This window comes from Homo sapiens, chromosome 5, assembly GCF_000001405.40.
Source record: "Homo sapiens chromosome 5, GRCh38.p14 Primary Assembly".
NCBI lineage: Eukaryota > Metazoa > Chordata > Mammalia > Primates > Hominidae > Homo > Homo sapiens.
The window spans coordinates 174,009,549-174,021,414 of record NC_000005.10 but is presented as its reverse complement, the minus strand read 5'-3'; the positions used below and the strand labels follow the sequence as shown (position 1 = coordinate 174,021,414).

At 40.3% G+C, this 11,866-nt stretch overlaps 1 annotated feature.

Annotated features, from left to right (window-relative positions):
• Positions 1,316–1,905: an enhancer, noted in NCBI's record as "OCT4-NANOG-H3K27ac-H3K4me1 hESC enhancer chr5:173446513-173447102 (GRCh37/hg19 assembly coordinates)". NCBI's record gives its function as "activates a minimal SCP1, AML or CMV promoter by ChIP-STARR-seq in naive H9 embryonic stem cells {active_cell/tissue: H9 hESC(naive)}" and the evidence as "EXISTENCE:reporter gene assay evidence [ECO:0000049][PMID:30033119]".

Here is an 11,866-nt window from a genome sequence, read left to right as displayed (position 1 = left end):
CACTGACTCAAAAAAAGGTAAGATGGCCCTTGCCTACTTTCAGTCCATTCTCAAAACAGTCGCCAAAGTAGTTACATGTTAGCTGGTTCATGTAAATTCACTACTCAAAACTCTCCAATAGTTTTTACATCTAACTCTGAAGAGAGGGAAAGTCCTCTAAGTAGCCCAACATAACCCAATTTCTGTTACTCACGCTCCCGTCTTCCCTCTCCCTCTCACTCCACGGGACTTCTTCTCCTTCTCCTTCTTCCTTCTCCTTCCTTCTGCTTCTTCCTTCTCCTTCTTCCTTCTCCTTCTTCTTTCTTCCTTCCTTCTTCTTCTTCTTTCTTCTTCCTCTTCCCCTTCCCTTTCCCCTTCTGCTTCCCCTTCCCCTTCTCCTCCTCCTCCTTTTTTTTTTTCCTCCTGTTTTTCAGCCTCAGGACCCTGGCCTTGACCCCAACTATTTGCATGTCTGGTTTGCTTACTGCTGGTTTTTATGTAAATATCACTTTCTATGTGAGGCCTTCCTTTGCCATTCTACTTAACATTGACTCCCCTGACACTCTCATCTCTTTCTCTCATTTATTGCTTTAGTTCTCCATAGTACTTATTTTTTTAAACATACTGTATACTTTATCACTTGTCTTTCCTTAAAGATGAATTTTTGTATGTTTTGCTCACTTTTGCTCCCCTGGTACCTAGAAAAGAATTTGGCACAGGATATAGACTCAATCAATATTACATGAATGAAGCAATGAAGGTATGAATGGATAAGTGTCTCACTTGAACCTGACTCACACAAGTAGGAGATTTGTGCATGGATGTCACCCCTCCTCCACAAGCTGTGCCCTAGACCATTACATAACTGAAGACTCCCACCTTCAGGCAGGAGTGGGTAGTACATGTTTGTAACTACTTGGCATTGCCTTTTGTTGAGGTAATTTCAGTTTTAAGTTCGTCTCTGCCTCTTGATCTCTGGAAGATTCAATTTCATAGAAATTTTTTAAAAGAAAAGAAAAATGTGGGGGGAGGAGCCAAGATGGCTGAATAGGAACAGCTCCAGTCTACAGGTCCCAGCGTGAGCGACGCAGAAGACGGGTATTTCTGCATTTCCATCTGAGGTACCGGGTTCATCTCACTAGGGAGTGCCAGACAGTGGGTGCAGGTCAGTGGGTGCGCACACCGTGCGCGAGCCGAAGCAGGGCGAGGCATTGCCTCACTTGGGAAGTGCAAGGGGTCAGGGAGTTCCCTTTCCGAGTCAAAGAAAGGGGTGATGGACAGCACCTGGAAAATCGGGTCACTCCCACCCGAATACTGCGCTTTTCCGACGGGCTTAAAAAATGGCGCACCACAAGATTATATCCAGCACCTGGCTCGGAGGGTCCTACCCCAAGGAGTCTCGCTGATTGCTAGCACAGCAGTCTGAGATCAAACTGCAAGGCGGCAGCAAGGCTGGGGGAGGGGCGCCCGCCATTGCCCAGGCTTGATTAGGTAAACAAAGCAGCCGGGAAGCTCGAACTGGGTGGAGCCCACCACAGCTCAAGGAGGCCTGCCTGCCTCTGTAGGCTCCACCTCTGGGGGCAGGGCACAGACAAACAAAAAGACAGCAGTAACCTCTGCAGACTTAAATGTCCCTGTCTGACAGCTTTGAAGAGAGCAGTGGTTCTCCCAGCACGCAGCTGGAGATCTGAGAACGGGCAGACTGCCTCCTCAAGTGGGTCCCTGACCCCTGACCCCCGAGCAGCCTAACTGGGACGCACCCCCCAGCAGGGGCACACTGACACCTCACACGGCAGGGTATTCCAACAGACCTGCAGCTGAGGGTCCTGTCTGTTAGAAGGAAAGCTAACAAACAGAAAGGACATCCACACCAAAAACCCGTCTGTACATCACCATCATCAAAGACCAAAAAGTAGATAAAACCACAAAGATAGGGAAAAAACAGAACAGAAAAACTGGAAACTCTAAAAAGCAGAGCGCCTCTCCTCCTCCAAAGGAACGCAGTTCCTCACCAGCAACGGAACAAAGCTGGATGGAGAATGACTTTGACGAGCTGAGAGAAGAAGGCTTCAGACGATCAATTTACTCGAGCTACGGGAGGACATTCAAACCAAAGGGAAAGAAGTTAAAACTTTGAAAAAAATTTAGAAGAATGTATAACTAGAATAACCAATACAGAGAAGTGCTTAAAGGAGCTGATGGAGCTGAAAACCAAGGCTCGAGAACTACGTGAAGAATGCAGAAGCCTCAGGAGCCGATGAGATCAACTGGAAGAAAGGGTATCAGCAATGGAAGATGAAATGAATGAAATGAAGCGAGAAGGGAAGTTTAGAGAAAAAAGAATAAAAAGAAATGAGCAAAGCCTCCAAGAAATATGGGACTATGTGAAAAGACCAAATCTACGTCTGATTGGTGTACCTGAAAGTGATGGGGAGAATGGAACCAAGTTGGAAAACACTCTGCAGGATATTATCCAGGAGAACTTCCCCAATCTAGCAAGGCAGGCCAACGTTCAGATTCAGGAAATACAGAGAACGCCACAAAGATACTCCTCGAGAAGAGCAACTCCAAGACACATAATTGTCAGATTCACCAAAGTTGAAATGAAGGAAAAAATGTTAAGGGCAGCCAGAGAGAAAGGTCGGGTTACCCTCAAAGGGAAGCCCATCAGACTAACAGCTGATCTCTCGGCAGAAACCCTACAAGCCAGAAGAGAGTGGGGGACAATATTCAACATTCTTAAAGAAAAGAATTTTCAGCCCAGAATTTCATATCCAGCCAAACTAAGCTTCATAAGCGAACGAGAAATAAAATACTTTACAGACAAGCAAATGCTGAGAGATTTTGTCACCACCAAGCCTGCCCTAAAAGAGCTCCTGAAGGAAGCGCTAAATATGGAAAGAACAACTGGTACCAGCCACTGCAAAATCATGCCAAAATGTAAAGACCATAGAGATTAGGAATAAACTGCATCAACTAACAAGCAAAATAACCAGCTAACATCATAATGATAGGATCAAATTCACACATAACAATATTAACTTTAAATGTAAATGGACTAAATGCTCCAATTAAAAGACACAGACTGGCAAATTGGATAAAGAGTCAAGACCCATCAGTGTGCTGTATTCAGGAAACCCATCTCACATGCAGAGATACACATAGGCTCAAAATAAAAGGATGGAGGAAGATCTACCAAGCAAATGGAAAACAAAAAAAGGCAGGGGTTGCAATCCTAGTCTCTGATAAAACAGACTTTAAACCAACAAAGATCAAAAGAGAAAAAGAAGGCCATTACATAATGATAAAGGGATCAATTCAACAAGAAGAGCTAACTATCCTAAATATATATGCACCCAATACAGGAGCACCAAGATTCATAAAGCAAGTCCTGAGTGACCTACAAAGAGACTTAGACTCCCACACATTAATAATGGGAGACTTTAACACACCCCAGTGTCAACATTAGACAGATCAACGAGACAGAAAGTCAACAAGGAGGGCCGGGCGCGGTGGCTCACGCCTATAATCCCAGCACTTTGGGAGGCCGAGGCGGGTGGATCATGAGGTCAGGAGATCGAGACCATCCTGGCTAACAAGGTGAAACCCCGTCTCTACTAAAAATACAAAAAATTAGCCGGGCGCGGTGGCGGGCGCCTGTAGTCCCAGCTACTCGGGAGGCTGAGGCAGGAGAATGGCGTGAACCCGGGAAGTGGAGCTTGCAGTGAGCCGAGATTGCGCCACTGCAGTCCGCAGTCCGGCCTGGGCGACAGAGCGAGACTCCGTCTCAAAAAAAAAAAAAAAAAAAAAAGAAAGTCAACAAGGATACCCAGGAATTGAACTCAGCTCTGCACCAAGCCGACCTAATAGACATCTACAGAACTCTCCACCCCAAATCAACAGAATATACATTTTTTTCAGCACCACACCACACCTATTCCAAAATTGACCACATACTGGGAAGTAAAGCTCTCCTCAGCAAATGTAAAAGAACAGAAATTATAACAAACTATCTCTCAGACCACAGTGCAATCAAACTAGAACTCAGGATTAAGAATCTCACTTAAAACCGCTCAACTACATGGAAACTGAACAACCTGCTCCTGAATGACTACTGGGTACATAACGAAATAAAGGCAGAAATAAAGATGTTCTTTGAAACCAACGAGAACAAAGACACAACATACCAGAATCTCTGGGACGCATTCAAAGCAGTGTGTAGAGGGAAATTTATAGCACGAAATGCCCACAAGAGAAAGCAGGAAAGATCCAAAATGGACACCCTAACATCATAATTAAAAGAACTAGAAAAGCAAGAGCAAACACATTCAAAAGCTAGCAGAAGGCAAGAAATAACTAAAATCAGAGCAGAACTGAAGGAAATAGAGACACAAAAAACCCTTCAAAAAATTAATGAGTCCAGGAGCTGGTTTTTTGAAAGGATCAACAAAACTGATAGACCGCTAGCAAGACTAATAAAGAAAAAAAGAGAGAAGAATCAAATAGACGCAATAAAAAATGATAAAGGGGATATCACCACCAATCCCACAGAAATACAAACTACCATCAGAGAATACTACAAACACCTCTACGCAAATAAACTAGAAAATCTAGAAGAAATGGATAAATTCCTCAACACATATACTCTCCCAAGACTAAACCAGGAAGAAGTTGAATCTCTGAATAGACCAATAACAGGATCTGAAATTGTGGCAATAATCAATAGCTTACCAACCAAAAAGAGTCCAGGACCAGATGGATTCACAGCCGAATTCTACCAGAGGTACAAGGAGGAACTGGTACCATTCCTTCTTAAACTATTCCAATCAATAGAAAAAGAGGGAATCCTCCCTAACTCATTTTATGAGGCCAGCAACATTCTGATACCAAAGCCAGGCAGAGACACAACAAAAAAAGAGAATTTTAGACCAATATCCTTGATGAACATTGATGCAAAAATCCTCAATAAAATACTGGCAAACCGATTCCAGAAGCACATCAAAAAGCTTATCCACCATGATCAAGTGGGCTTCATCCCTGGGATGCAAGGCTGGTTCAATATACGCAAATCAATAAATGTAATCCAGCATATAAACAGAGCCAAAGACAAAAACCACATGATTATCTCAATAGGTGCAGAAAAAGCCTTCGACAAAATTCAACAACCCTTCATGCTAAAAACTCTCAATAAATTAGGTATTGATGGGACGTATTTCAAAATAATAAGAGCTATCTATGACAAACCCACAGCCAATATCATACTGAATGGGCAAAAACTGGAAGCATTCCCTTTGAAAACTGGCACAAGACAGGGATGCCCTCTCTCACCACTCCTATTCAACATAGTGTTGGAAGTTCTGGCCAGGGCAATTAGGCAGGAGAAGGAAATAAAGGGTATTCAATTAGGAAAAGAGGAAGTCAAATTGTCCCTGTTTGCAGACGACATGATTGCATATCTAGAAAACCCATTGTCTCAGCCCAAAATCTCCTTAAGCTGATAAGCAACTTCAGCAAAGTCTCAGGATACAAAATCAATGTACAAAAATCACAAGCATTCTTATACACCAACAACAGACAAACGGAGAGCCAAATCATGAGTGAACTCCCATTCACAATTGCTTCAAAGAGAATAAAATACCTAGGAATCCAACTTACAAGGGATGTGAAGGACCTCTTCAAGGAGAACTACAAACCACTGCTCAAGGAAATAAAAGAGGATACAAAGGCCGGGCGCGGTGGCTCACGCCTGTAATCCCAGCACTTTGGGAGGCCGAGGCGGGCGGATCACGAGGTCAGGAGATCGAGACCATCCCGGCTAAAACGGTGAAACCCCGTCTCTACTAAAAATACAAAAAATTAGCCGGGCGTAGTGGCGGGCGCCTGTAGTCCCAGCTACTTGGGAGGCTGAGGCAGGAGAATGGCGTGAACCCGGGAGGCGGAGCTTGCAGTGAGCCGAGATCCCGCCACTGCACTCCAGCCTGGGCGACAGAGCGAGACTCCGTCTCAAAAAAAAAAAAAAAAAAGAGGATACAAACAAATGGAAGAACATTCCATGCTCATGGGTAGGAAGAATCAATATAGTGAAAATGGTCATACTGCCCAAGGTAATTTACAGATTCAATGCCATCCCCAACAAGCTACTAATGACTTTCTTCACAGATTTGGAAAAAACTACTTTAAACTTCATATGGAACCAAAAAAGAGCCCGCATCGCCAAGTCAATCCTAAGCCAAAAGAACAAAGCTGGAGGCATCACACTACCTGACTTCAAACTATACTACAAGGCTACAGTAACCAAAACAGCATGGTACTGGTACCAAAACAGAGATATAGATCGATGGAACAGAACAGAGCCCTCAGAAATAACGCCGCATATCTACAACTAACTGATCTTTGACAAACCTGAGAAAAGCAATTGGGGAAAGGATTCCCTATTTAATAAATGGTGCTGGGAAAACTGGCTAGCCATATGTAGAAAGCTGAAACTGGATCCTTTCCTTACACCTTATACAAAAATCAATTCAAGATGGATTAAAGACTTAAATGTTAGACCTAAAACCATAAAAACCCTAGAAGAAAACCTAGGCATTACCATTCAGGACATAGGCATGGGCAAGGACTTCATGTCTAAAACACCAAAAGCAATGGCAACAAAAGCCAAAATTGACAAATGGGATTGAATTAAACTAAAGAGCTTCTGCACAGCAAAAGAAACTACCATCAGAGTGAACAGGCAACCTACAAAATGGGAGAAAATTTTCGCAACCTACTCATCTGACAAAGGGCTAATATCCAGAATCTACAGTGAACTCAAACAAATTTACAAGAAAAAAACAAACAACCCCATCAAAAAGTGGGCGAAGGACATGAACAGACACTTCTCAAAAGAAGACACTTATGCAGCCAAAAAACACATGAAAAAATGCTCATCATCACTGGCCATCAGAGAAATGCAAATCAAAACCACAATGAGATACCATCTCACACCAGTTAGAATGGCAATCATTAAAAAGTCAGGAAACAACAGGTACTGGAGAGGATGTGGAGAAATAGGAACACTTTTACACTGTTGGTGGGACTGTAAACTAGTTCAACCATTGTGGAAGTCAGTGTGGCCATTCCTCAGGGATCTAGAACTGGAAATACCATTTGACCCAGCCATCCCATTACTGGGTATATACCCAAAGGACTATAAATCATGCTGCTATAAAGACACATGCACACATATGTTTATTGTGGCATTATTCACGATAGCAAAGACTTGGAACCAACCCAAATGTCCAACAATGATAGACTGGATTAAGAAAATGTGGCACAGATACACCATGGAATACTATGCAGCCATAAAAAATGATGAGTTCATGTCCTTTGTAGGGACATGGATGAAATTGGAAATCATCATTCTCAGTAAACTATCGCAAGAACAAAAAACCAAACACCGCATGTTCTCACTCATAGGTGGGAATTGAACAATGAGATCACATGGACACAGGAAGGGGAATATCACACTGTGGGGACTGTTGTGGGGTGGGGGGAGTGGGGAGGGATAGCATTGGGAGATATACCTAACGCTAGATGATGAGTTAGTGGGTGCAGCGCACCAGCATGGTACATGTATACATATGTAACTAACCTGCACAATGTGCACATGTACCCTAAAACTTAAAGTATAATAATAAAAAAAAAAGAAAAATATTCACACAAAAATCTGTACACGAGTATTTATAGCAGTGTTATTTGTAGTAGACAAAAATGGAAAACAACCCAGATGTCCTTTAATGGATGAATGATGAAACAAACTGTGGTATCTCCATAGCATGGAATACTACTCATCAATAAAAAGAAACAAACCGGTGATACATCCAACACACCTGAATCTCCAGAGAATTATGCACAGTGAGAAAGCCAATCCAAAAAGATTATATAGTGTTTGATTCCATTGATATAGCATTCTTAAAATGGCAAAATTATAGAAATGTAGAACAGATGAGTGGTTGCCAGGGGTTAAGGAGAGGGTTGGGGATGGAGATAAGTGGTTCAGAAAGGAAATATCTCATTCATGTCCAGCTTAGGCAACACAGCAAGACCCTGTCTTGAAAGAAAGAAAGAAAAGAAAGATAGAGAAAATAAAAAAAAGAGAGAAAAGAAAGAAAAATGAAAAAAGAAAAAAGAGAAAGAAATGAAAGAAAGAGGATGGGAGAGGAAAGAGAGAGAGAGGAAGGGAAGGAGGGAGAGAGGGAGGAAATGTTCCTAATATGGCATATAGTAAATACTGAGAGTAATGGAGTCACCCACTATCAAACTAGGCTATTCCCAGTTGTTAAAAAAAAAATTTCACTAAACTTCATCAGATTCCTAGAATAATGGGGTCCAATAAGAACACATTAAAGTCAGAGAAAGACCAACATGGCACCTGACATTCTGGAAATCTTAGCCAGTGCAATAAAGCAAAGAAAATAAGTAAAAGGTATTTACAGGTTGGAAGGAAGAAATAAAAGTCTCATTTATAGATGAAATGATTGTAGAAATCCCAAAAAATTCTGTATACCAGCAATTAACAATGGAAAATTCAAGTTAAAAGTGCCATTCAGAATAGAACCAAAAATCACAAAACATTTGGTGTACATCTTACAAACTATGTGCAAGATCTGTAGAGTGAGACCACAACACATTCAAAACCTAACAAAATGTAAAAAGACCTAAATAAATGAAGATATATCCCATGTTCAGGAATCAAAAGATTCAACATCCTTACAATGATAATTTTTCCCAAACTGATCTATAGATTCAATGCAATCAAATAAAAATCCCTAGTGTTTCTTGCAGAAATCAACAAGTTAATTCTGAAATTTATGTAGAAAGGCAAAAAAACTAGAATAGCCAAAACAATTTTGGGGAAACACCTTAAGCTGTAAGACACAATACTTAGTTTCTAAAATTCCTATAGCCAGTCATAGGCCAAACTACCCCAAAATTACTATTGCCTCAAGACAGTGTGGTATTGGAGAAAGAATAGATACCTAGATCAAAGGAACAGTATTAGAGCATCCAGAAATAAACCCACAGACATACGATCAATTGATATTTTAAAGGAATCTTTATTATATATTGTTATAAGTAATAACTTAGCCTAAGAATCAGGATGCAGTTTTTAATTTTTTTGAGATAACTGTAGATTCACAAGCAATTGTAAGAAATAATGGAGATCCTGTGTACTCTTTACTCAGTTTCTCCCAGTGAATATCCCAGATGTGATTTTGCAAGATGTCACTTGCAAAACTATAGTGCAAAATCACATCCAGGATATTGTGATTGATATGTGCAAGACACAGACCAAGATCTCTCATGTTGCACTTACATAGCCACATGCACTTCTTTCCAACCCCAACCCTCTCCTTAACCCTTGGCAACCACTGATCTGTTCTACATTTCTATAATTTTGCCATTTCAAGAATGTTACATAAATGGAATCATATAGTATATAACCTTTTTGGATTGGCTTTCTCACTCTGCATAATTCTCTGGAGATTAAAGTGTGTTGCACGTATCAACGGTTTGTTTCTTTTTATGATGAGTAGTATTCCATGGTATGGAGATACCACAGTTTATCATTCATCCATTAAAGGACATCTGGGTTGTTTTCTATTTTTGTCTACTACAAATAACACTGCTATAAATATTCGTGTACAGATTTTTGTGTGAACATAAATTCATTTCTCTGGGATAAATGCCCAATTGCCGGGTTGTATAGTAGTTTGAGTGTTTTCAAAAATTGCCAAACTATTTCTCAAAGTGGCTGCAGCATTTTACATTCCCACCAGCAATGTATGACAGCTCCAGCTGCTCTGTATCCTCACCAACTTTTGTTATAGTCAGTATTTTTTTATTTCATCCGTAGTGTTATTTCATCATAGTTTTAATTTGCATTTCCCTAACAATGCAAATTAGGGAATTTGCATTTGTTCCTCCTTAGATCTATGATCCATTTTGAATATTTCTTTTATATAAGATATGAGAGCTGGCCACAGTGGCTCACACCTGTAATCCCAGCCTTTTAGGAGGTCAAGGCAGGCAACTGCTTGAACCCAGGAGTTCAAGACCAGCCTGGGCAGCATGGTGAAACCTTCTCTCTACAAAAAAATACAAAAATAAAAATAATACAAAAATTGGCTGAGCATGGTGGCACATGCCTGTAGTCCTAGCTACTCAGCAGGCTGAAGTAGGAGGATGGCTTGAGCCTGGGCGGTCGAGGTTGCAGTGAGCCATGATCACCACTGTACTCCAGGCTAGGCCAGACTGAGACCCTGTCTCAAAAAAAAAAAAAAAAAAAAGTGAGGTTTAGGAGAACGTTTACTTTTTTGCACATGGATATCCAATTGTTCCAACACCATTTATTGAAAAGACTACCCTTTCTTTACTGAACTGCATTTGCACATTTCCTTTATAAAATATCAGCTGAGACTTATGCTTCCACAGGGAAATGGTGCAGACACACTTTTCCCTATTCCTGTCTCCAAGTATTAAAAACTAAAAACTTGGAACATTATACATAAAACAAACATAAGAACACTCTGAAAGCTGTAGAGAACAGACCAGTTAAGAACCTCAAGGCTCAAGGAACAACACAGGAGTGAATTATTAGGCTTTCTTTTTGTTTCATATATTCCAGACTTGAAGCTTAAGAAGCCAGGACCCTGGAAATGCCAAAAGGCATAGACAAAAAAGGCCCAACAAAAACCAGCTCTCTCTACCTGAAGGACCAGGAAAGGAATAGCTGAGCAAGACAGAAAACTTTATGATGATAACCACTCAACTAGCCAAATACCACAGAAAAAACTGAGGCCCCAACCACATTAACGGCAGTAAGGGTTTAGTAGGAAGCCCAGGCTTTCACACTCATGAAGCTATGCTGATGTGTCCCAACACCCACAATGGGGTGATGCCAGAAAAGGCAAATTAGAAAGCCCAGACATTCACCCCACTAGCCAGAAGGCAGGAAAAAGAAAACAGAAAAACACAGACCAAAAATAACAAACAGAAAAAAACTAAAATAAAATGGAAAACTTAAGTACTAATATTAACTACATTAAATGTAAATGTAAATTACATTAAATGTAAATATATGCGTACCAATAAAAGACAGACATTGTCAGAGTAGATTAAAAAAACATGACCCAGCTATATGTTGTCTATAAAAAACTCATTTCAAATATAGTGATATAGGCAGGTTGAAAGTAAAAGAATGGAAAAAGATACAATAAAATGAAAGCAGGAATATTTATATTATTATCAGATAAAATAGACTTAAGAACAAAGAAAATTACCAGACAAAAAAGGGCATTATATAATGATAAAGGATCAATTACCAAGAAGACTTAGCAGTCCTAAATATGTATGCACCAAATAATAAAGCTGCAAAATATGTGAAGTAAAAACTGTGAGAACCTAAAGAATAGAAAAACATACAATTGGAGACATCAACACACCTCTTTTAACAACTGATAAAATAACTAGACAGAAAATCATCAAGGATACAGAAGAACTCAGCATCAACCAAGAGGATCTAATAGACATTTGTTGAACACTTATCAGCAGTAGAATATATATTCAAGTGCCCATGAAACCTATACCAAGATAAGTCATATCATTGGCCATCAAACAAGCCTCAACAAATGTAAAGGAACTGAAATCATACAAAGTGTGTTCTCTGACCACAATGGAATCATTCTAGAAATCAATAAAGAATAACAGGAAAATCTCAACAATTAGAAAGTAAACAACGTATTTCTACATAATCTACAAGTCAAAGAGGGAATCTCAAGGAAAATCAAAAATTACATTTAAGTAAACCAAAATTAAAACACTTAGAATCTGAGCTATTTGATCA